Here is a 26,999-nt window from a genome sequence, read left to right as displayed (position 1 = left end):
TTCTTAAGTATTTTCCTTGAGCTACTGCATCCACAAAGAATCAGTATCACAAGTTAGAGGTAATTTGGAAAAGAACCAATCGTCCTACAAGGATTTCTTGAGTATCTATCACATACCAGGTACTGTGCTGGGCATCTGAAATTCAGAGAAAAAGAAACAAGGGACACTATCTCACCTCAATGAGATAACAGTCCAACAAGGAAGCGCCAAGCAAGTAACCATACAGCACAGAGGTGGACACCGAAAGAGGGGCACTCAGAAGCCTGAGAGGCAGAGGCAGTGGTGAGGGGGCTTCTGAAAATCAGGAAGGCTCTGCTAGGTTGGAGTAGGTGACAACTGACTTTAGATTTGGATGATAAATACGATTTGAGTGCTCAGAAAGAGCTGGAGGAGGTGCTATATGTGGCAAAAGATAAGCACATTTTAAACTGCCTTATACTTTTAAACAAATAATAATAAATCAGCATTTACTGTAATAAAAATACTTTATCAGGCCATCTCACACAGTTCCCAAAGCTTATGAGGAAAAATTTAAGTCAATTTCCTTTTAATAAATATTATTTAACGACTGGAACATTTAGAGAAACATACATAAGCAGGCCGTGGCAGCACGTCACTCAGGGACAATAATCTAACAGGGAATTTCAGACAACCTAGCCTAGACTAAATGCTGGGCAGCACCTGGCAGACAAGGTGGCAAAGCCCCTATAAATAGTGATGATTCACTAACATGACATAAATCAAGATTTTAACTCACCAAAAACTAACATTTTGATTTAAAAACACAAATCAGTGCCATTAAAATTCATCAGCGGCCCCTAGCACATGAGTAATGAGATCATATCAACTTATATCATGTAACTAAAAGGAAAAGGTGGTTTTCTAAATGGTAATTCAGATTGGACAAATAACACACTGTATCAAGTTTTGTAGCTCTAGGCCATATTTTGCTAAACACAAAGGTACATTATGCATGACTAAAGAAAACAGTGAAAATCAGAGCAATTAATTTCCCAGCTATGTTTCCCATAAAAAGACATCACTACTATGATCTGCTTATAACACAAACTTTTTTGCATTGCACAATGATCTAAGTGTGTAATAACTTACATATTTCACTAAGATGTAACATCCTTCAAAACATCCTTATAATGAAAGTTTTCCAAAAACATTATTGATCACCGGCATGTCTCATGTTTTAAAATTACTGACGAATCCTTTACTATTTTCTTTACAGCTAGAAATAATTCTTCTTGATCACTAGAGTGTAAAGGGGTATAAAGTACAAAGACTGAATATTTTCTTAAATACTAACATCCCAGTTGACACAGGACATTTCCCATAACTTGCCCAAAACAATAATTAGGAGAGTTGTCACTGGAATCCTAAAAATATATGTAAGAAAACAGAGATTCGTTGGCATCAATTTAGCACAGCAAGAGATTTCCATTAAGTGCTTTTTCAAATTATTTGCAAACACTTTTTAGCTGAACCCTCTCATTTCCAGTGGAGCCTTTTATGTTTCTTTGCAGAACTCAAGAACCTTTTCTCAGGTGGCTCTGCTTTGCTGCAGGTAAGTTTGGTATTAACACATTTTCTTTATCTGTTGGAGGTAGTGAAACGGCTCTCTTCCTCCGTTGTCTTTCACTGGCACCTTTGTGGCCGCTCGTAGTCACTGACCTCACCTTGCTGGAAAGGTGGCTAAGAAAAGAGCAGTTTCTAATAACTCAAGGGAACTGCAGCGTTTCCATTCAGAACAAACAGCAGGACCCAGCTGGAGGGGTGCAGCTCTAAAGAAGTAAGACCCGCACCACAGCGGACAACTTCCAGAGGCTCTTCTCCAACACCGCCAAACACAGGCGGAAACACGGAGCCTGGACAGAAAGAGGGACGAGCAGAGAGATGGGCGCAGAGAGCAAGAGACAGGGGAGCCAGGAAGACCGGGAGCGAAAGCCTCTTGAGAGAGAGAGAGAGACCAAAAGATTGTGCGAAAGTGACAGAGGGAAGAGGATGAAGGGACAGAGGAGGGACACACTGGGAGAGCCAGAGCAGGCGGTGGGGAGAGGGAGACAGACGCACGGAAGGAAAGAGAGACCGGGGGGAGAGGCAAAGGATAGCAATAAGGAGAGGAAGGGAGAAAGGAAGAAAAGGGAGAGAATGAAAGACCCAGAACTTGAGAGAGAGGCATAGAGAGAGAGAAGCAGGAGAGAGAGGAGAAGAGACAGGCAACTGAAGCAGAGACGGAGCCCAGTCCAAGGCGCCGGGACCAGCCCGCTGCGCACTTTCCCCCACGGCAAGGCTGGGTCTCGGGAGGCGTCCGGGGCAGGTGGGTGCCTGCGGGTCCCGCCTGGGCTGGCCCTGGGCCCCCGCCCCGCCGGGCTCCCTCCCATTTCCCGGATTCCGCGACTGCCCTCAGCTCGCCCTCCCGCCCCATCCCTCCGCTCGCAGGTCCGACTCCCTGCCTTGGGGCGTCCCTACAGCCCGAAGCACGTGTCCCGCCCGCCGCCGCCGCTGCCCCGACTCCTCGCCTGCGCAGGCACGAGGCCTCGGGGTCCCGGCAGAGCCGCCCGCGCACAAAGCCGAGGCGGCCACCGCCTGACCCCCTCCCCGCCGCCGCCACCGCCCCACGGCCGCGCAGCCCGCCCTCGCTCTCGCCCTCTCCCTCGCGCGCTCCGTCCTGCCTAGGGCGACCGCCGCCCAGCTCCGCACCCAGCCGCTACCCGTCCCGCGCCGCCCCTCGCTCTGCCCGGCTCTCGCCGGCTCGGCCGCCTCCCGCGCGCTCGGGAACTCGGCCACCCGCAGGGGACGGGGCCCCGCCGCGCGCGCCTTACCCGCGGCTGCGCTCCCGGCTCCCGCGTCCTCAGCGCCGCGGTCTCCGCACTGCCCGGCGTCCCGCGAGGCCCCGCCGACTCCGCGCCCCGCGCCCGGCTGCGCCGTCAACTTCTGGCCGCCGCGGCCGCTCCGCCGCCGCCGCCGCCGCCACCGCGGGACTTTTTTTTTTTTTTTTTTTTTTTTTCCCTCTCGCTCCTCGGCTGCCTCTGGAATTTTTTTTTTTCACTTGCCCTCTCCAGCTCCCACTAGTGATTGGAGACTGAGAGCCAAGTACTTAGCGGAGGGATTACACTTCTCAACGCACTTGGAGCGGCCCCAGCGCCGCCGCCTGTGTGCGGAGTGCGGAGCCGACTTGGGGAGCGGCGGGGTGCGGGCCGGAGGCAGCCCGGGTACAGGGGTGCGCTTCCCAAGCCCCGTCCGCTGCTCAGAGCATCCCCAAGATTTCCCTCATGGGTCCTGTCCTGGTTGTTTAAGAAGGTTTCCAGAAAACCTCCTGGTTTGAAGAACAAAGATTCGTGGAATTATTGTACCTTGAGAGCTGGAAAGGGCTCGCAGAGATGATATAATGTCGTGGATTTCAACTTTTCGGGGCCATAGACACTTTTCAGAAATTGATAAAACGTTGACACACCTTGTAAAAAATGAACACATTAAAATTAAGCCTGCAGTTTGAGGTGGGGGTTTTAAGAATCTTGAAATATATACAGTTGAGCGTCCAAGGGAAATGAAATATTTCCCTTCTACATATTTTTTGAAACCGTTAAACGAAAACAACCACCAAAAAATTAAAAATAAAAAAATAAAACCCAAAAGAGAAAACCCATTCCATTTGTATTTGATGACAGTTTACAGTTAGTCGTGTTTCTTTTGGAAAAGTATGTAACGTCTTATACTTTGTGGTCTCCTTGCTAAGTCTTTAAGTGTTGAAACACTTTCTAAGTGGGTAAATATAAAGTAAGCTAGTTCACAGTCAGAAATTTGGGGAGAATAGTTAACCTCTTTAAAATCAGCCATTTTGCCAACTCTATTTCCCAGGGAGATATCTCGTGACTTCCAAATACTCTTTTCCTTTCAATACCTTTCAGCTTCCCACTCTCCAGCATTACTTATTTTCTCCTTCTGTAAAATTTTTTTCCTCCAAAATATTGACAAACAGTCTCTGGTCACCACCAAGTGTGTGATCTAAGTCATTTTTTTTTTTAACAGTTTTTCACCCTGAAGTAACTTTCTTCCAATTTTCTTCATATCTATTTCTATATTCAATTCTTAGCCTACTATTTTCTTTCAACTACTCCCTTTTCTTAAATTGTTTCTATTAAATCTTTTTTAAACATTAAATGTAATCTTTTTGCACTTATCAATAAAAAATTCATTTGTGTATCAATTTATTTTATGCAGCTTGCACTTAAAGCAGGCGGTGCCCCCAGTGTTTATTGAGTGTATGAAGATGTGGTCATGTTTTTTCTATAAAAGCAATGTTAGAGTCTCCACAAAGGTCTTTTTGCCCCATGATATATCTGCATTGTGATTTCTAATGCCAAACTGGAAGAAGAAAGGTATCTGAAAGAAAATTTCCAAAACAAGTGAAATTAGTCATTGACATCATCTGACCTTCCTTATTCAACCACTGTTCCAGTCCCCAGTACCAGTACTCATCCTCTTGCCCCAAGAATTCCAAGATAAAATCCATTCATTTTACTCTCATCCCAATTCTTCTCTGATACCCTCACTCCCACCCCTTCCCTTTTCCACCTCCTTTCTTTCAAAACAATAAAGCATATGACTACCTAAATTACCTTCTACCTGGTCCTCAATCCAATTTTTCATCATCTCCATCCTCATATTAACTAAGTGTTTTGTGGGGAGAAGGGGGCTTGAAGACACGGAAATTATAACTTCTACACCATTAAAATAAAAGACAAAGCAAGGAATTATGAGCTATTATGTAATTAACTAAAAATAATAAATTATCGAAAATGAAATGTGAGTTTAGAAATATGAGTTTTAAATATTGAAAATAAGATACCAAATTATAATTCATTACAGAGCTTATGATTGTATACATAGAAAAGCTTAGAGAATTTACTGGAAATCCATAGAACTAAAAATGTAATGTGTTGATCATTGTCAATATCTCATCAACATTAAGCAAGTTTAAAGAGGAAAGAAACCTGATTGAATCTATCCTTTCTACTGTGTGAATTACTGATAATTTGTATTTGACAGCTGTATAATCTCCCTTAGAATTGGAGCACTCATAAACTGCAGTGAAATAAAGCAGACATTATGCAGAATGTTTTGGAGCTAGTGGTATTGTCACCTGTATCTTTTCAGAAGTTGCACTAAGGATTATCTTTCCTTGGCTTAACTCCTCCATTCAGCAAATATCCTTCAGAGAATCTGCTGGGTATAAGATACTGATTCAGGGAATACAGGCATCTCTGGATAGAGAAGACACAGATTCCACTTCAATCAACTTGCAGACAAGGAGACAGATTTTTTTAAATACCTTGTTTAAATATATTTTTTAAAATTCCAAATCAGAGAACAAAGGAAATTCCTGTAGGTCTTTGGGATGAAAAAAAAAAAGCACTCCAGGTGGGAGAAAATGGGGTACAGGGGAAACTGTGTTTGAGGTGGGCCTTAGATGGTAACATTTCTGTAAGCAGGAATGGGGAGCCTTGGAAAGAAGCTATTCAAAAATCAACATTTTTGAGTGCCTATGACAAACCAAGTCCTGGTATTTGAGAGGCAAACTCTGTCCATTCCTTCTTGAAACTCATAATACAGAAGAAACAAGATACTTAAAAAATATATAGAACTTTCTATGAGAAGTGCATTAATGCATGAACACACAATTTTTGGAGCATAGAAAAATGAACTATTCTGCCTAGAAATCTCAGGAAAACCTTCCTAGAGTAGTCACATTTCATAAGGGTCCTGAAGGATCTTTAGAGATCAAAGCGGGGCTAGAAAGAGAATAAACATCCTAAGCAAGGAGAACCCTATGAAAAAGCATGGCGTGTTTAGAGAACAGCTGGTATCTCAGTGCTGCTATCCAAGTGATGAGGAGAAGGTGCAGCAGATGACTCTCTTAGGCTAAGCAGGGTTCAGAAATAACCTTCTCAAACATACTAATGAAATTGATTTTTTCCTTATTAGGTAATGGAGAAGCACTGGAGATTTGTAAGCCACGGAGTCAAATGGTGGACTGGGATTTTCAGGAGATCATTTAGAGGTACCTGGAGAGGGAGAAATGAAAGCACAAAACTAATTAAGGGTCTGTCATTGAAAGAAGGAATACTTGAACCAAGACAATGGTGTAACTACCAAGACAGCAGACTCAAAAGACACTTCCTATATTGCTAACTGTAGCCTTGGATTTTGGTGCCTTTAAAGGCCATAGGAGCCAGATGTGGTGGCATATGCATGTAGTCACAGATACTCAGAGGCAGAGGTGGGAGGATCCCTTGAGTTCAAGACCAGCCTGAGCAACATAGTGAGACCCCCACATGCCCACACCATATCTAAATAAATAAATAAGTAAATAGAGACCACTGGGGGGAGAAGAATAGAAAGGAGGGGCTTCATTGGGTGCATGACAAATTTTAGCAAAAGCAAGATTTTTTTCCCCTCTGCTTCTACATAAGGAAACCAGGGCAGTGTATATAGGACTCTCAAACACTTGCAGGCATATTTCCCATTAAGAAAGACATTTGCCCAGGCCCACTGGAATTGAACTATTTGGGGAATTTATAAGTAGAGAAATAGGACAGACCTGGGGACACAGCTTGCTTCTATGCTGTCAGCCTCCCCTTCTCCTTCCTCTTCATGGATATCCTCACTCCTACCACTTTCCTTTTCCACCCCCCTCTTCTCTCAAAACTGAAGGTAAAGGATTTGACCACCATTAATATATTGTCATAAATCAAGGCATACAATGCTAAGTAACATTCTAGAACATGTGCTTTTAAACTATTTCTCTCTAATTGTGGAATAAAAGTCTGCCTCTTTTCAGGTATGGTATTTTAGGAATCAGGTGAAGGAAATATTTTTCAGTGTAAGAAAGAGATCTTTTTCTTGCTCTTCTGTTCCTACTGCTGTGGTTGTCTTATTGTCCACTGCTACATGTTGACTCTACATATACAAAATAAGTGGTTAAGCCTCTCAACAAACAGAGTATTTAAATTTTTGCTTGTTAATATAATAACTTGGTGAAATGTGTACCTTCCATAATAAAAGCCACATTTATGGAGTGGTTACCATGATACAGGCACACTACTAAGTAGCTCACATTTATTATCAACCTGAGGCCTCATAATAAGGTATTATTTTATTTCCATTTTACAACTGAGGAAAGCAAGGCACAGAGAAGTTAGATAACATTCCCACGGCCATGCTAGAAATTGGAAGAGGCAGGATTTAAACATGAATTGTCTGGCTGCAGCATCTCAGTCTTAACCAGTGCACTAAACTGCTTCTATAGCACTGAGAATGTTTTTTGGTTTTTGTTTTTTGAGATGGAGTCTCACTCTGTTGCCCAGACTGGAGTGCAGTGGTGTGATCTCGGCTCATTGCAATCTTTGCCTCCCAAGTTTCAAGCGATTCTCCTGCCTCAGCCTCCCAAGTAACTGGGATTACAGGTGTGCACCACCACACCCAGTTCATTTTTGTATTTTAAGTAGAGACAAAGTTTCACCACTTTTGGCCAGGCTGGTCTCGAACTCCTGACCTCAGGCCATCTGCCCGCCTCGGCCTCCCAAAGTGCTGGGATTACAGGCATGAGCCGCTGCACCCAGCTGATAATTTTTTAAGTAGACATTGAACAGACACTATACAAAAATACGTGAAGATCTTGAATCTAAGATAATGTGTGCATTTGATCTTAGAACATATGGAAAAGCAGGGTACTTGAGTCCTCTATATTTCATTAAAGGCATTTTTGAGGTTCTGAAAGCTAGCTGCTGGGGGAAGAAGCTGGTGATAGCAGAGACCTGGGAAGCAATGAGGTCTGTGGCTTTTAAAACTCCCCTCTCTGGGTCAGTGCTTAATCACCTTGCCTATGCCTTTTGCCAAGTTGTAAGCTTCTTTAGGATCTTTTCCCTGTCTTTTACTACTCTCCCCCGGTTTTCCTAGCTAGAAATGGGTGCTTTTAGCTCAAAAGCAGATTTTTGCATGTTGTGCTGTGGATTGCATCATAAGGTAGCAAGACTTCCCTCACAGAAGCATTTAGCACAGGTAGAGATGGGATATTGTGGAAGGAGATCGTGCCTACAAGGGGTTGAAGGACAGACTCTAAAATTCTCTAAGACTCCTTTCTACTTTATGATTCTGTATTTAACATATTATGAATAATTTCAGTATTAACACAAATATCAATACAAATATAATTTTATATAATTTATATAAATGCTGTTAGTCATGTGAATATGGATATTGATTCACATTAATGCATATTATTTATTGTGAATTATTTAATATGAATTAATGTATTTCTTGTTTGTTTGAGACAGAGCCTCACTCTGTCACCGAGGCTGGAGTGCAGTGGCAAGATGTCAGCTCACAGCAACCTCCACCTCCTGGGTTCAAGCAATTCTTGTGCCTCAGTCTCTGAAGTAGCTGGAATTACAGGCATGTGCCACCATGCCCAGATAATTTTTGTATTTTTAGTAGAGACGGAGTTTGATCATGTTGGCCAGGCTGGTCTCAAACTACTGACCTCAAGTGATCCACTCACCTTGGCCTCCCAAAGTGCTGGAATTACATGGGTGAGTCACTGTACCCAGCCTGAATTAATATATTTCTAAATATATTAATATATTTTCTGATTCTGGTATATAATATGTCAGTGATAACCTCACAATTAAAATACACATCAAATTACTCTCATATCTACTATATTTTCTGCTGATCATTTTATTTGGTTTTATATAAAACAACTGTGATTATATATGGGAAGAAATAACACAGAAATTCTAGTTCTGTAGCAATTTAATTTTGTCTAATATGTAAGTTAAAGAAAAATAGAACTCCTCAACTGAAACAGAAACAAGCCATAAACTATGAAAACATCTGAAGTAGCTAAGCTACTGGTTCTGTTTTTAAAAAGAAAAAAATATCTTTGGTAGGCCAAGATGGGAGGATCCCTGGAAGCCAGGAGTTTGAGACCAGCCTGGGCAACATAGGGAGATCCCGTCTCTAAAAAAAAATTTTAAAAACAGTTGGGTGTGGTGGCATATGCTTGTAGTCCTAGCTACTCAGGAGACTGAGGAAGGAGGACTGATTGACACCAGGAGTTTGAGGCTGCACTGAGCAATGATCAATCCACTGCCTGGGCAACAGAACAACACCTGTCTCACTTATAAAAAAAAAAAAAAAAAAAAAAAAAGAAGGCTGGGCACAGTGGCTCACGCCTGTAATCCCAGCACTTTGGGAGGCCGAGATGGGCAGATCACGAGGTCAGGAGATCGAGACCATCCTGGCTAACATAGTGAAACCCCATCTCTACTAAACAAATTACAAAAAATTAGCCTGGCATGGTGGCGGGTGCCTGTAGTCCCAGCTATTTGGGAGGCTGAGGCAGGAGAATGGCGTGAACCCAGGAGGCAGAGCTTGCAGTGAGCTGAGATGGCGCCACTGCACTCCAGCCTTGGTGATAGAGAGAGACTCCGTCTCAAAAAAGAAAAAAAGAAAAAACTGAAGTAGAAATGTTAAAATGATTTTACTTTTTTTTTTGCTGTCAACATTGTTCCAACTTTTCTTAATAAAAGCGGATATTATACCCACATGTTTATATGCTGCCAAATTACGCAGGGCTTGATAATAAACTAATCTCTTTGAAGTCACATTTGAATACAATGTCATATTAATATTGTTTTTTGAATTTTCAAACATTTCTAAAGCTAGAGCATCTTTTATTCTGAACCATCCTAATCCATACACCTACATGATTCCTAAAACTAGAAAATAAGGAAAAAATTCTGTAACAAAACTTATAAAAATAATTCCTACATCTGTTTCTTTAGAGTCTCATGTTCCTGATGACTTTTTCCTTCTAAAATGATTTGCCAACCTTGGAACTTTTCAGTGTTTTCCCTGACTCACAGTATATTTACAGTGTGTGCCTCAGGAAGAAATATACAGCAACTATTTCCTTCTGTACTAGAAAAAAACACAGAAAAGTTAGGTAACAAAAACAGATGAAGAGCAATTTTCTGATTAAACTACCTGAAAAGGATGAGTTTACTAAAAACTTATTAACTAAAAACCTATTCTTTCCATCAGACTCTCTTAAATTGATATAATTATTTAAGGCTAGTAGAGAAAAGAAATTTAAATTCTATTCCATAATTTTAGAGACTGTGCCTTATTTAAATTCATAAAGCTTTTAACATGGTGTTAATATCAGAAATAATATTGAATATTACCACATTAACTATAAGACATTGTAGGAATTCCTTTTCGATATTCCTAATTGTAAGACTAATGTCTGCATTGAAATATGGACTGTGAAGATACTCATGGAAAGCTATACAGATTTCCATCCTACAAAACCACGAAGACAGTGATGTCCAGGACATACTGCAGGATGAAGCCCCAACCTCTTTGGCAATATTCAAGGAAACTTGGAAGTTTCATGCTACTTTTAATGGAAAGGAAAATGACAGAACCAAAGTCAAAGGAGGAAAGACAAAAAAGAGAGAAAATGAGTCCTCTGTGTAACAACAACAACAAAAATAGGAATGAAGGAAAAAAAGATCAAAGAGGAAATCACATTCTAAAATACATCTTTTCTTTCTAGTGGCAGAATTTTGTTTTAACACACAAAGTCAAACTTGTGATTTTGTTAAGTAGCACTATTCATTAACACAAGCTAGATATTTACATAGTAAGTCAGAATAGCATGAAGTATTGAAGATCTGATTGTAACTCACCTGCTTAAAAACTGTAAAAGTTCTCATTTGCCTACAGAATAAACCCGTAACATTCTGGAAGGACTTTCAGAGCCCATGCTGATCTGGTCTCAGCATTTTTTTTCCAGACATGTCTTCTCCCAAATATTCTAGCCCCACAGACTGCTTGCCAACTATTTTTACACCTCCCACCATTTCTCCTGCCTGTTATACTGTCTGGCCCTTTTCATCATCTGGCCTTCACCTTCTAGACCCTTTCATCATCTGGCCTTCACCTTCTAGACCCTAGTCAAGTGTCTTTTCACTCATAAAATATTTCTTTCTCTAAGAATATTGTTAACTGTTTCTCACACTTCTACATTATCACTGTCGTGTATTTTATACCTTTGCATATTCTTTTTATTTCTTTTTTTTTTTTTTTTTTTTTGAGACTGAGTCTCGCTCTTGTTGCCCAGGCTGGAGTGCAGTGGCACGATCTCAGCTCACTGCAACCTCTGCCTCCCGGGTTCAAGCTATTCTCCTGCCTCAGCCTCCTGAGTAGCTGGGATTACAGGCGCCCACCACCACACCTGGCTAATTTTTGTACTTTAAGTAGAGACAGGGGTTCACCGTGTTGGCCAGGCTGGTCTTGAACTCCTGATCTCAGGTGATCGGCCTGCCTTGGCCTCCCAAAGTGCTGGGATTACAGGCGTGAGCCACTGCGCCTGGCCTCTTAGCACATTCTTAACACACAGTAGTGTTCCTGGCATATAATAGGTGCTCAACATACCTTGGCTATTGAATGACAACAGAACCTCACAGTTGAGTTAAAAAACCATGAAGCCGAATCTTAGAACATCTATAGACTCCCAACTATATTGGCCACCCCAAAAAAGATCTTTTGAAACAAAGGTTAGCATCCTATAAATGGGCTGTGTAGGCAGCAAGGATATAGGGTTTTGTTTCTAGTTTATAAATATTTTAAATTAATTTTTTTAAACACAGGAATAAAAACCTACACAAGTTTATTTACTGCAAGGCTAGGGCAAGCAGTAGAGTGGTGCAAAATGGCACCAGTGTGACCTGAGTAGAAATTTGAATGAGGTGTGAGATGGGAAGGGCCCAGATGATGCAAGTCTAGTTAATCATGGGAGTTGCTATCTGGGGCGAGGTGGGCATGATGGTAAAATTTCTTTATTCCTGGCTGAGGAATTCAAAGACTATCATCTTCAACAGGTAGAAAACAGACATCAAATCATCATCATATTGCTGGCCAGGCATGGTGGCTCACGCCTGTAATCCCAGCACTTTGGGAGGCCAAGGCAGGTGGATCACTTGAGGTCAGGAGTTCAAGACTGTCTAGCCAACATGGTGAAAATACAAAAACTAACCGGGTGTGGTTGCTTGCACCTGTAGTCCCAGCTAACTGGGAGGCTGAGGCAGGAGAATCACTTGACCTGGGAGGTAGAGGTTGCAGTGAGCCAAGATCGCGCCACTGCACTCCAGCCTGTGCGACAGAGCAAACCTCTCAAACAAACAAACAAAAAAATCACATTGCTGAGCATGTGTGAGCATTCTTACATTCCGAGCATTCTTACCTGAACAGAGAGTATCCCCAGATGTTGTTTGATGCAAATGAAAGCTCCTTGAGTACAGAAACACAGAATTAGTAATCTGACACCTAGCGTATATTACAGATTTCATAAACATATGAAGACTGGATGAAATAACATAACAATGTACATCAATTTCTGGCATTACTATTTCACCCACCAAATGCTATTATAGCAGAATAAGGACAGAATTGATTCTTCTTACACACACAGTCCTATTACTGACCAAATAAAATTTGGAGTGAACCGAAATAACAAGAACAATAATAATACAGTTAAAAGAATGGCCATTATTTGTTCATTGCTTACTATGTGCCAGGTACTGTAGCACTTCTTTTGTTATCTCATTTAATCACGGATATTATTAATACCATCATTTTACAGATGAAGAAAATGAGGTTTTGATAAACTAAGTAACTTTCCAAGGTCTCAGAGCAGTATGTGATGGAGTGGATATTTAAAGCCAGGATTTTTAGGATGTATATCTCACATTCTTAACTAGAACACCCCCTTAGACTTTCTGAATATAGACACACACTTATCTATAGTTTGAAGTGCAAGCTAATCCATGGATGGACTGAGGTGCTTCTAAGTGGATCAATCATTTTGTTCTTTTTCCTGTTAGTGATAGATGTTTCTAGAACTATGGACTTACCTTCAAACATTGTGTTATTGTGAAACAAAAGAGATAAACCATTAATGCTTGAAGGTATTTTATAATGTTTCATTGCCTTACAGTTACTTCACTGCTTTTACCTGCGGACATGATGTCATACACAGATCATAAAATGCTAATGACAAAGCTATCATGCAGGTATCATAGAGGACTTTTAATATCATCTGATGTTAAAGATACAATTTTTATGCTAGGTTGAAATTCCAACATTAAGAAGAAGTGAGGAAACACAACTTGGCATCTGTCTTTCCTTCTGTTGAAGGTTTTAAAGCATTGAAATTATACTGAATTGTTTCATGCTAAATTACTCTTAAGTTTTATTTTACACACACACACACAGATATATATATATATTTTGTGTGTGTGTGTGTGTGAGACAGAGTCTCGCTGTCGCCCAGGCTGGAGTGCAGTGGCACAATCTCGGCTCACTGCAACTTCCACCTCCCAGGTTCAAGCAATTCTCCTGCCTCAACTTCCCAAGTAGCTGGGAAAACAGGCGCACGCCACCATGCCCAGCTAGTTTTTTGTATTTTTAGTAGAGACGGGGTTTCACCATGCTGGCCAGGCTGGTCTCAAACTCCTGACCTCAAGTGATCCACCTGCCTCGGCCTCCCAAAGTGCTGGGATTACAGACATAAGCCACCACGCCCAGTCATTTATTTTTTAACTTTTATTTTAAATTCAGGGGTACAGTGCAGGTTTGTTACACAGGTAAACTTGTGTTATGGGGGTTTGTTGTACAGATTATTTCATCACCCAGGTATTAAGCCTAGTATCCACTAGTTATTTTTCCTGCACCTCTCCCTCCTTCCACCTTCCACCTTCCAAAAGGCCCCAGTGTGTGTTGTTCCTCTCTCCGTGTCCCTTTCTCCTCTACTAGTTGCTAAACTTCTTGAGATTGGGACTATATCTTTGCATGTTTGTGCCTAGCATTTAGCACACTCTGTAGGACATTTACCAGCATTACATACATGCCCAGTGAATAGACAGATCATACTATCTATATTGAGGACATATAGGTCAGAATTAAAGAATAAATAAAAAACCACGCTGATACTTTAATATGAATTCTCAAATAGAAATACATAAGCCTTCTCACCTCCAGTATTAACTTTGCAAGAGAGAATTCTCAAAGCCGACAAGAAGCCTGGTGCCCAGTGACAATAGTCTACTGTGCACATGATACAGAAACTAGAGACAGTGTTTTGAATGGTGCTAATAAGCCAAGGACACTGAACAAGCATGATGAACATTCTCTGGACACTGAAAAATCCACTTGGAGAAAAGCTACTTTTGCCTTTGAACACTCATTAATAAAGTTGCTGCCTTATTCTGCCCTAGTTACGGTGCTTTTATTGAAGAGAAAGCAATCAACCAAAAAGTTTATGACAATGAGGGCAGATTTTTTCAATAGAAAAATAATAATTGTATATTTTTATGGCGTACATGATGTTTTGCTATGGGTATACATTGTGGAATAATTAAATCAAACTAATTAGCGTATGCATTACCTCACATCCTTCTCTTATTTTTGTGATGAGAATAATAACAATCTATTTTAGTAGTAATTTTTTTTTTTTGAGACAGAGTTTCACTCTGTCACCAGGCTGGAGTGCAGTGGCACGATCTTGGCTCACTGCAACCTCAGCCTCCCAGGTTCAAGCGATTCTTCTGCCTCAGCCTCCCAAGTAGTTGGGAGTACAGGCACGTGCCACCATGCCCAGCTAATTTTTGTATTTTTAATAGAGACGGGGTTTCACCATGTTGGCCAAGATGGTCTCGATCTCCTGACCTCATGACCCGCCCGCCTCGGCCTCCCAAAGTGTTGGGATTATAGGTGTGAGCCACCACGCCTGGCCTCTAGTAGTAATTTTTAAAGATACAATACATTGTTATTAACTATGGTCACCATATTGTACAATAGATATCTTGAAATAATTTATTCTGCCTAATTGAAATTTTGTATGCATCAACAAACATTTATCCAATCCCCCCACCTGCCAGCCTTTGGTAACCACCATTTTACTCTTTGACATACCAATTTCATATCCTTTAGACATTACCCATAAGTGGGATTGCTGGATTATATGGTATATTTTTAATTTTTTGTGAAACCCCCATGGTGTTTTTCATAATAGCTATATTAATTTACATTCTTACCAACAAGCCTTACCTCTCCACATCCTTGCCAACAACACTTATCTTTTGTACTCTCAATCATAGCCATTCTAACAGGCACGAGGTGATATCTCATTGTGATTTTAACTTGCATTTCCCTGACAATAGTGATGGCAAGAATTTTTTCATAAACCTGTTGGCCATTTGTATATCTTCTTTTAAAAAAATATCTATCCAGGTCCTTTGCTCATTTTTAAATTGGGTTATTTGTTTTCTTATAATTGAGATGAATTCCTTATGTGTTTTGGATATTATCTCTTATTAGATGGTAAGCTCTCTGTCGGATGTATGATCTCTGAATATTTTCTCCTCTTCCATGAATTGTCTCTTCACCCTATTGATTGTTGCCTTTGCTGTGCAGAAGCTTTTTAGTTTGATATAATTTCATTCATCTGTTTTTATTTTACCTGGCTTTTAGAGTTATATCCAAAGAATCATTGCCCAGACCTATGTCATGTAGCTTCCCTCCTGTGTTTTCTTCTCTTTGTTTTACAGTTTCAGATCTTAGATTTAAGTCTTAGGTCTTAGATTTTGAGTTAATGTTTTTGATATGGTGTGAGATGAGGGTCTAATTTCATTCTTCTGTATGTGGATATTCAGTTTTCTGAGCACCATTCACTGAAGAGACTTTCCTTTCCCCATTGTGTGTTCTTGGCATCTTTGTCAAAAATCAATTGACCGTAAATGCATGGATTTATTTCTGGGTGAGGGATTTTAATGACTTTCAAATCATTTGACAGAACATCTCACATGAATTATTACTACATCTGCAACTCATCATAACCTTAAAATTACTGATATTCCTAATTTCTACATTTAGCAACTTGAAAATTTTGTACTTGGTACACAGCATTTGTGAAGACAGATCGATATGTATATAATATACATAAAATTAGTATAGAGATAACCAAGGCAATAATCTCAATATTATGTTTGTGGCCACTGTTGCTGTTTTAATGCTCTTCATGCTCCAGGATGACTTCCCCGTGGGAGTATAGTAGAAGAGTGGGCATATATAGCCCTCAGGGAGGGGGCAAGGTTTGGAATCCAATTACCTACATGCTTTACTGTTTGTTACACCACAAAGACATAAACCTGTTCTATTTTACTACTTACCTTTTCAGTTAATTTGTAATAGTTTGAAAGCATTATTTCAGCATACCCATGGAAAAATAGACTTCTGAGTTGAAGATTCCTATGTTTTACTGTGATTTAAAAACGAGCAGCCTTACTTAAAAAGAATAGTCTTTCTATGTAACCATGACCAAGCTAGATTGTATATAACCATATTCCATATATATCATATACGTTTTGATACCATATATGTCATATAGATCTTGATACAGTAGCAACAGGAAAGCCTTGATACCAACATTTTCATTTGTTTAAAACTAACAGCCAGGAAATTATTTAGGTTCTGGCTCTAATTAATTTAGATAATGTAGACCGAGGCTATGTCAATGTATTATTGGTTTGGAAATGAAAGAAGACTCAGACAGTTAAATTCCCCATAGCCTAGCTATGTAGTTCTGTAAGCATAGGGAATTCATTAAGCAGCAATTCATAGTACTTTTTCTTAAGGTTTTATTTGTTTTTCTTTTTGTTTTCTTGTAGAGCAAGATCTTACCAAATCCTTTAGTCATGGTCTATTTCGTTGCACTCATATGGTTGTTACTGCGAAGGTGAAGAACTAATGACTGCAGCAGGAAAAAGAATTGGATGTGTCATGAATTATGGCCCTGCTTATACTTCTACTTCAACCGTAATCATTTGTTTAAACAAAAAGTTCTGCATTTGAATTGTCACAATTGTGTGTGTGTTATAAACATCTCATATTTCATCCAGGCTCAGCCAACACTTGCCTTTATTAATGCTCATAATCAAGAAATAAAATCTCATACTAACCAAAAATTATCCTTCATAAGAGAATATAAACAGAAGTCTGGTTCATAAACTTACTAATTAACACCTCTATTCTCATGTATCAACTAACATTTTTGTTTCGTCTTAAAATAAATAAAACTTTATGACATGCTAATAATTTATTTAAAATTTTATCTTTCAAAGGCTTATCTTCTCTTAATGTTCGACTTAGGTTTTTTTATACTATTGATTTTGCCTTTAGAAAATTTTCATATCCCAGCCAGACAAAGTGGCTCACACCTGTAATCCTAACATTTTGGGAGGCTGAAGCAGGAGAATCACTTGAGGTCAGGAGTTTGAGACCAGCCCGACCAACATGGTGAAACTTCATCCCTACTAAAAATCCAAAAATAAGCTGGGTGTGGTGGCAGGCACCTGTAGTCCCAGCTACTTGGGAGGCTGAGATAGGAGAATCACTTGAATCTGGGAGGCAGAGGTTGCAGTGAGCCGAGATCAGGCCACTGCACTCCAGCCTGGGCAACAAAGCAAGACTCCATCTGAAAAAATAAATAAATAAAATAAATATCCCTCTCCTATAGCATACAAATATAGGCACTAAGTATACATTGCATACCTTTTCTTAGATCATATTCCAGTTCCTGTAATTTCCTCCTCCCTTTTTTTTTCTCATACAGGGATTTATAAGATTTAGGATTCACTTTTGTATACAGCGTATTCTTTCACTTTGGTTTTCCTATGGAAACCAGTTTATTTTCATAGAAAACATATTAGCTACTCTACCTTCCTATGTACTACGTCTGGATTGCAGCCTTCTTCTGAATGAGCACTGTAATTACAACATTCCCTAGACTACATCAGAACTCATGAACAAGCAGAACTTCAACATGTAACTTTCTCAGTAATCAGTAATCAAGTTCAACAGGATAATCAGCAACAACCAGCACAGGGAGGCAGAGTGTTTCTCTCACTCTCTAATAGCAGTAACGTATTCATGTTTTTATTGTTGGGGACCTTCAAATCATTTTAAGAAGTCACAGTTTTACTGTGGTGTCAATAAAACCAGAAAGATAACCAAGAATTTTATGGTATAAATTTGCCTTACTAACTGTGCCTGAAAAGATGAACAGAGAAGAGTGATTAATGAGCCTAATGGTCTAAGTGGAAGAATACTCAATTCCGAGTTAATTCTCACTCAAGGTTTTTGTCTATCTAACTTACCAGGCAGAGAAGATACACAATTAATAATCTGAATTCTCAGCTTTTTTCCTGTTATTTTTGGACTTATTAATTCAACAAATATTAAACAGGTTGATATTATGCTGGAATGCTGAGAATGCATTAGGCAAGACAAAAATCTCTGTTTCAATTGAGTGTAAATCCAAAGACGGAGGTAGATAAAGCAGTTACTAGTGTGGTTGTTTATTCATGATTTATTAGCTACTGTGCTAAGTGTCAGGTATACAGCAGTGAGCAAGACAGACAGGCCTCTGCCCTGGTAGGAGGTGTGTATTAAGTCCTAAGAAAGCAGCAAGCATTAGATCTTGTCACACAGAGGATATTTAAAATCGTCTTTAGGGGACAGGGATGTTGTTCTAAAGACAGTGACAGCTTATCTGAGACCCAAAAGGCAAATGACACGTGGCCATTTCATGGATGAGGAAAGGAAGAGTTTTCTAGCATGGGACTAGCAGATGCCCAAAAGTCAGAGGAGCATCTCTTTGTCAGGTCCCTAGAGGTAGCCCTGTGTGGCTGAAGTAGAGGATGTAGAACAGGATGCTGTGAAAGCAGAGATAAGCAGTTTACCAGACCATGAAGGACATAATAAAGTGGACCTTAATGGAATCTGAGCCAGGCTGCCTGGGTTCAAATCCTGGTTCAGACACAAACTCTGTCTTGACGACTTTAGGTATGGCGAATCATTCTATTGTCAACCTAGTTAATCTGAGAACCACATTTCACATTCTTTTCTCACAGATAGTTCTCTGTTAGCATGGCCAACGAGATAACTTTTACAAGATTTAGGAGGTAGAAGTGAAGCAGCAGCCAATACCCTCTAAAAATCATCGTGATTGGATGTAGTGATGGACAGACACAGAGGTCCCTAGGGGGGCTTTTCCTCACTCTCTTCCACTTCACTTCCAGCTCTTCTTCTCTACTCCGGCTCCTCTGACTAGGAGCAGCCCTAGGACCATCAATGAATACTTGACCACAAACCCACAGAGGCAAAATCTTCCCACAGACTTATCTGCCAGCAGCTTCACAGTCCCACTTGGGTGGCTGGATGTGCTTGGCTTTTTATATTGACTGGCTGGGAACCACTCAGATCTTCCTTCCCAAGCATCTCATAATGTTATATATACACATTCTATAATACATCCCTTATCTTACAACACACAGTGGATGTGTTTCTCTGACTCATATATGGAACAAGTTGCTTAAGCTCTCTATCCCTGTTTATCTTAAAAGAGGATGATAATAATTACAATAGTATCTGCTTTATGGGGTTGTCTTGAGAAAATAATGTATGCTCACAAAATGATAGCTATTTTGAAAAGTTCATTCTTTACCTTAAGGTGGATGGGGAGTCGATAAAAGATTTTGGGTAAGTGACATGATTGGATTTTTGTTTCAGGACAACCAATCTGAGTGAGATGTGGAATACAGATGTGAGGTTGGTGAAAGTAGAGACAGAGACACATTCTGTCACAGTAATCAGAATTTTTAATCTTGGTAGCTTTCACTGAGGTAGTGGCCCTGGGATTGAAGATCGGGGGACAGATTCAAGAATCTTTGAGAAACTAGAAATGACAGAGCTTGGTAAATTAAGTATGGGGAATGGAGGAAAAAGAGACATGAAGGATTATTTTCAGGCTTCTAATTTAAGAAAGTGGATGGATCATGGTGCAATTTTCTGAAACAGTAAAAATGGAAACAGAACTTGTTTGGTATGAAAGTGATGAAACTGGTCTGGCGCAGTGGCTCAGGCCTCTAATCCCAGCACTTTGGGAGGCTGAAGTGGGCGGACATGAGGTCAGGAGATTGAGACCATCCTGGCTAACACTGTGAAACGCTGTCTCTACTAAAAATACAAAATATTAGCCAGGCGTGGTGGTGCGCACCTGTAGTCCCAGCTACTTGGGAGGCTGAGGCAGGAGAATGGCGTGAACCCAGGAAGCGGAGCTTGCAGTGAGCAGAGATCATGCCACTGCACTCCAGCCTGGGCGCCAGAGCAAGACTCTGTCTCAAAAAAAAAAAAAAAAAGAAAGAAAGTGATGAAACTTAGTTTTAGATATGATGAGCCCAGGGTATCCATGAGACATCTAATTGGAGATGATAAACAGGAAGTTACATGTACTGAACAGTTGAGTCTGGAGATGAGGCATGAAATGTTCACCTATCTCTTAATCCATTATACTTATAAAGTAAATATATTTTCAACAAGAAAAAGGCATTAGCTGGGTGCAGTGGCTCACGCCTGTAATCCCAACACTGTGGGAGGCCAAGGCAGGTGGATCACCTGAGGTCAGGAGTTCGAGACCAGCCTGGCCAACATAGTGAAACCCCATCTCTACTAAAAAACAGAAAAATTAGCTGGGCATGGTGGCTCACACCTGTAATCTCAGCTACTCAGGAGGCTGAGGCAGGAGAATCACTTGAACCCCAGAGGCAGATGTTTCAGTGAGCCGAGATCTCGCCATTGCACTCCAGACTCCAGCCTGGGCAACAAACAACAGCGAAACTCCATCTCCAAAAAAAAAAAAAAAAAAAAGGCAAGGAATTGAACGTGAATTCATGATTATTCAAATTATGTGGAGATTGGCACTCAACAAACGTAGCATATACATTATTTTCAAGTACCCAGAGAACACTGACAACATCCTGCTGTGTAATGCAAATATTAATGCATTTCAAAGAACGGGTATCATACAGACCATGATGAGTTTGAACACAGTCTGTCAAATATCCCCAGCATTTTCTTGGTGAAAAAAGGGAGGAAACTTTTAGCTTCTCTAGAAAGATTATCTATATCCCAGATTGACTATCCTCCTGAAGGAAATCCTTGCCCTTTAAGCAGAAAAATGACAGGCTTTGCCTAATTCACAGGACATTCACATGTATTAGAGACAGCAAAGTGGCTGGACACAGGAGAATTGTCACATCTTTTTGGAAAGAGTCAGGCACAGCCTAAAAAGATTAAATCTCTGAAAGAATCCTAGATCAGGTAATCCAGCAGGCATCATGCATAGCTATAATTCTGTCCTAGTCCATTTTGTGTTGCTACAAAAGAATATCTGAGATTTAGTAATTTGTTTTTTTAAAAATAAGGTTTATTTAGCTCACAATTCTGTAAGCTGGGAAGTTCAAGAGCATAGCACCACATCTGGCTGGCTTCTCGTGAGGGCCATGTGCTAGTCAAAACATGGTGAAAGGCTGGGTGCGGTGGCTCAAGCCTGTAATCCTAGCACTTTGGGAGGCCAGGGTGGGCACGAGGTCAAGAGATACAGACCATCCTGGTCAACATGGTGAAAACCCGTCTCTACTAAAAATACAAAAATTAGCTGGGTGCCGTAATCCCAGCTACTCAGGAGGCTGAGGCAGGAGAATCACTTGAACCTGGGAGGCAGAGGTTGCAGCAAGCCAAGATCACACCATTGCACTCCAGCCCAGGCATCAAGAGCGAAATGCTGTCTCAAAAAAAAAAAAAAAAAAAAAAGAAATGTATGGTCTAGTTGGTGAGACCTGAGTAGCACATATGACCTCAGAATAATTAATGATATCTTCAAGAAAATGTGAACAAAAGCATATATTTGACTACCTAAAAATTAAGTGTCCATACATTGAAATGTTTATTTTAAAGATATCCAAACTAAAAGACAAGATTTATTGGCCAGGCATGGTGGCTCACGCCTGTAATCCCAGCACTTTGGGAGGCTGAGGCAGGCAGATCAAGACCATCCTGGCTAACACGGTGAAACCCCGTCTCTACTAAAAATACAAAAAATTAGCTGGGCATGGTGGCGGATGCCTGTAGTCCCAGCTGCTCGGGAGGCTAAGGCGGGAGAATGGCGTGAACCCAGGAGGCGGAGCTTGCAGTGAGCCGAGATTACGCCACTGCACTCCAGCCTGGGCGACAGAGCGAGACTCTATCTCAAAAAAAAAAAAAAATTTATGAGCAAGTTTATTATTACAGTGTTGTTCATTACAAAGCTGCAGATGGCCAAAATAATCATCAGGAGAATAGAAAAGGTACAGTTAGATAATAGAATCATATGCTGCTGTTAAAATGACAATAATAAATTATTTGAAATGATGTACAGTATGCATATTACATAATGTTTTGAGAAAAAAATGTTTTTCACATTTTATCTGCTATTAAATTGAAGAAATATGAGAAAGACCAGAAGAAATGTCTAACATATAAACTGTTACTGTGTCTGAATAAAAGATATATATGCTGAGTTTTCCTGTTTATGCCTTTCGAAGTTTACTCAGATAATCATGAAAAATTTAACCAAAAAATGATGTTAACAAAAATTCTTATAACAATTTAAAATTTAAAATGTAATGCTATGTAAGTGCACAGGTGACAGAAGGGCTGAGATTATTGCTACGGAGTAACAGCAACTTGGGGTACACAGGCAGTACTACTGCAAATGAGTGGTGGCTGTTACCCTCTGCCTTCTTGGGAAGCACTTGGAAGTGTAGAGTGGTCACTGAAGGATTGCCAAGATTGATACCATAAAGTTACTGGAAGATATTCAGAGCCAAATTCAAGAGGTTCATGAAAAGTGGTCACAAAAGGAAAACATATTGCAAAATTATAGGACTTAGGTTTAATGAGCTCTTAGGTATCAATTCAGAGAACATCATCATGTTTATTTTTTAAAGGCGTATATTATGAGAAAGCAATTCAAAAATGAAGAAATACAGTTGGCCACTAGGCATATGAAAAGAGAACATTCTCACTTAGTAATCAAATTAAGATGAGATATTTTACCTGCCATACAACTTTTTTTTTTTGAGACGGAGTCTCGCTCTGTCGCCCAGGCTGGAGTGCAGTGGCGCGATCTCCTCTCACTGCAAGCTCCGCCTCCCAGGTTCACGCCGTTCTCCTGCCTCAGCCTCCTGAGTAGCTGGGACTACAGGCGCCCGCCCCCAAGTCCGGCTAAGATTCTTTGTATTTTTAGTAGAGACGGGGTTTCACCATGTTAGCCAGAATGGTCTCGATCTCCTGACCTCGTGATCCACCCGCCTAGGCGTCCCCAAGTGCTGGGATTACAGGCGTGAGCCACCGCGCCCGGCCTCCTGCCATAAAACTTTTAATAATATTAATTGCTAACATACATTCAGTGTCTACTGTGTGCCAGTCTTTTCCTAAAAGTTTTAGATGTGTTGACTTGTTTGTTTAACCCTCCCAACAATCCTAATAGGTGGGTTCTACCTCTTTGCAGATGAGAAAACTGGGGTATAGGGACAGAGCTCATCAGTGTGAGGAGCAGATGGAACCCAGGCAGTGCAGTCCCAAAACCAGCTTTTTTTTTTTTCGGGGGTGGGTCTCACTCTGTCACCCAGGCTCGAGTGCAGTGGTACAATATCAGCTCACTGCAACTTCTGCCATCAGGGTTCCAGCGATTCTTTGGCCTCCCGAGTAGGTGGGACCACAGACGTGCACCACCAGGCCCAGCTAATTTTTGTAGAGACAGGGTTTCGCCATGTTGCCCAGGCTGGTCTTGAACTACTGAGCTCAAGGGATTCACCTACCTTGGCATCCCAAAGTGCTGGGATTATAGGCATGAGCCACCACGCCTGGCCCCAAAACCAACTCTCACCTACCACACCATACAACCTCTTCAATAAAAATACATATACTGAATATGTAATTATAAACAATAAATAAGATAACATACATACATCCTAATTATCCAGTAATAATGCTATGAATATCCAACATTGTTGAGGGCATGAAGACAGCAGCATCATAAAAACAGATTGATATATAAATTTGTACAAACTTTTGGGAGAATATTTTGGTGATCCATATGAATAACCTTGAAAATGTTCATGCCTTCTTAGTCCGGCAATTCTATTTCTACTAATATTATATGTTATAGTTATGAATATTACATTGTCAATTTCTAGTAATAATCATTAAAAATAATTAGACATACCCAAACATTTACATGCAATGGAAAAAAAAAAAGATCACAATTATCATATACCTACTATTATCTCTTCAGTTGGGTGAAGGAAGCAGGGCCAAGGTAATGTCGACTGTTTGAAAGTCTGTTTCAGGCCGGGCACTGTGGCTCATGCCTGTAATCCCAGCACTTTGGGAGGCCAAGGCGGGCGGATCACGAGGTCAGGAGATGGAGACCATCCTGGCTAACACGGTGAAACCCTGTCCCTACTAAAAATACAAAAAAATTAGCCGGGCATGGTGGCGGGCATCTGTAGTCCCAGCTACTCTGGAGGCTGAGGCAGGAGAATGGCGTGAACCAGGAAGACTGAGGCTGCAGTGAGCTGAGATCACGACACTGCACTCCAGCCTGGGCAGCAGAGCGAGACTCTGGTTCCATCTGATCTAGGTGAATTCCTTCCTTATCATCATGGAAAACAAAAATAAAGTTTATTCTGTAGAGAGGACAAAAACACAGGGTCTCTGGACTGGGGGCACAGCACATTTGGTGTCAGGGACTAAAGTGAATGTTCGTGTTCTGAATGCCAGGACTCCAGCCTCCTTCTCCCACCTAGGTTTCTAATGCTGGCCCTGCAGTCTATACCCTCTGGGCAGAACATTGAAAGAACCCAGTGGCCCTGGCAATTTACTCAACCTCAGAAACCTTATATATGGAAATATATATTTCCATATATATGGAAATAATTATAAATACGCAGAGAGTTTTGGTGAGCACCAAATAAGGTTATATGACTATTAGCATAGTGCTTGCAATGTGAAGTAATTAACAGAATAAGTTATTTTTAAAATTTGCTGTAATTATTCTCATAATAAAGTGAAATTTAGTAATGCTCTATTTGCATATTTATATTTGCATCTCCTACTCAAGTCTAAGCTTCACAAAGTAAGGCATGTGTACTGTTTGGTATTTTATCCTCAATGTTTAGGATAGCATCTGACATTAGTAGGAGTGCAATAGGTATTTGTTTACAATAGAATGAGTGAATGCTTATCTGATGATTAAAAATACATGGGGCCAGTATCAGGTAGTTGAAAGAGAAATGAACTAGAACACAGGAGTCCTAAATTCTAGATCTGGTTCTGCTAGATAACCTTGAACTAATCACCACAACCTCACTGGACCTTAGTTTTGTTTTCTATTAACTGTACTTGTTAATAGACTGAGATTTCTAAAGCCTCTCCCAGCAATAACCTGTTGTCTACATTGGGAAGAGCTGCCTCTGTGGCCTTCAGTGTGCCCAATAGCTATTCTTGAAGTAACACGTGACGGCTTCTTTTGTTCACGTCAGTTAGTAAGCGGGTATTAATTGAATGTTACCACTGTAATAAGGCTGGGAAAACAAAGATTAAAAACTTATAGTTCTGTTGCTTAAAAACAAACAAAAACAGCTGGGCGCGGTGGCTCACGCCTGTAATCCCAGCACTTTGGGAGGCCGAGGTGGGCAGATCACAAGATCAGGATCTGGCCAACATAGTAAAACCCTGTCTCTACTAAAAATACAAAAATTAGCTGGGTGTGGAGGCGGGCACCTGTAATCCCAGCTACTCGGGAGGCTGAGGCAGGAGCATTGCTTGAATCCAGGAGGCGGAGGAGGATGCCGTGAGCCAAGATTGCACCACCACACTCCAGCCTGGGGGACAGAGCGAGACTCCGTCTCAGGAAAAAAAAAAAAAAAAAAAAAAAAACATGAGCAATACCAAAAAACCAGGAATTCAGTAAAACATGATACATCTTTTTTCACCCTATATAATGTTAACAAAATTATATCTATAACCCTATTACTATAAATATTTTTAAAACCCAACATATCCTATTATCTTATCTTTATTAGCATGACACCAAAAACCAGAAGGAATTTATGCTCTAGAAAACTACGGTAAGTTGCTCTTGAACAATACTTTCAAGATTTATTCTCACAGTTGATTCTTTTGACTAGATATTAATTTGTATTTCCAAACTGAATGACATGACTTTCAGTGATGTTATTCATAACCATAACACATATGAAGTTAATTTTTAGGGCTTGACAATTTAAGAAAATAAACATACAAATTTATTCTCTCAACCTTCAGAAAATAAAAAAGTAATAGCATCTGAAGAATTCTCATTCCAGATTCTTATCGTTCATGTGGAATTTCTGCCTGTGTGAACATGGCTGATTGAGATTACTGTATGTGCCTATTTGGAACTGTAAAGCAATATGCTGTTTCCTGTCCATTGTGTTTTATGGATATGGTCAATATGACAGCACTATTGAGGTTCAATTTCCTAGAAAATTTAGTAAGTCATGTTTAAAATTAAAATTAAAACTTACTCAAAGTAGTCTCAGAATAACAGAAGCAGCAGAGAGGAAACAGTAAATCAATTAAAGAAACACTGAGCCCAAGTTGTTACATTATCTTGGTTGAACCAGAAACTTAATCTTTCTGCAGTGGCTGACCTAATTGTACCACTAGATTCCCTTTCTAGTGGCAGAAAACTCTTCCCAGCATCCCATGTGGTAAAATGTATCATGGGGAGCTTCTTTTTCATTACTCTAAGAGTTAAAACTATTTTTAAATTAGCTTCATTGAAGAATAATTTACATATAATAAAATGTACCCATTGAAGTGCATAATGCAATCAGTTTTGACAAATGCACATAGTAGTTTAACCACCACCACAATCTTGCAATAGAACATTTCTAGGAACTACCTTTAAAAAATATCCATTTTCTATTCTTTCG

The 26,999-nt window shown here is 40.3% G+C and overlaps 1 protein-coding gene and 1 long non-coding RNA gene across 6 annotated transcripts in view; one reads left to right on the top strand and one right to left on the bottom strand.

Annotated features, from left to right (window-relative positions):
• The window catches only part of BMPR1B (bone morphogenetic protein receptor type 1B), a 400,496-nt gene extending 397,551 nt beyond the window's left edge, over window positions 1–2,945 (bottom strand). For all 5 annotated transcript variants that reach the window (XM_017008559.2, XM_047416093.1, XM_047416091.1 and 2 more), the window contains exon 1: window positions 2,832–2,945. The gene's annotated coding sequence lies outside the window, so the exon portion shown is untranslated. The remainder of the gene's footprint in view (window positions 1–2,831) is intronic.
• Window positions 3,367–17,232, top strand: BMPR1B-DT (BMPR1B divergent transcript). Its single transcript, NR_121610.1, has 3 exons — window positions 3,367–3,506; window positions 5,995–6,070; window positions 16,806–17,232. It is a non-coding gene; the product is annotated as a BMPR1B divergent transcript (long non-coding RNA).
• The last annotated feature ends 9,767 nt before the right edge of the window (window positions 17,233–26,999 follow it).

This window comes from Homo sapiens, chromosome 4, assembly GCF_000001405.40.
Source record: "Homo sapiens chromosome 4, GRCh38.p14 Primary Assembly".
In the NCBI taxonomy this organism is placed as follows: Eukaryota; Metazoa; Chordata; class Mammalia; order Primates; family Hominidae; genus Homo; species Homo sapiens.
Note: the sequence above shows the minus strand (reverse complement) of the source record. Positions and strands in the feature narration are given on the sequence as shown.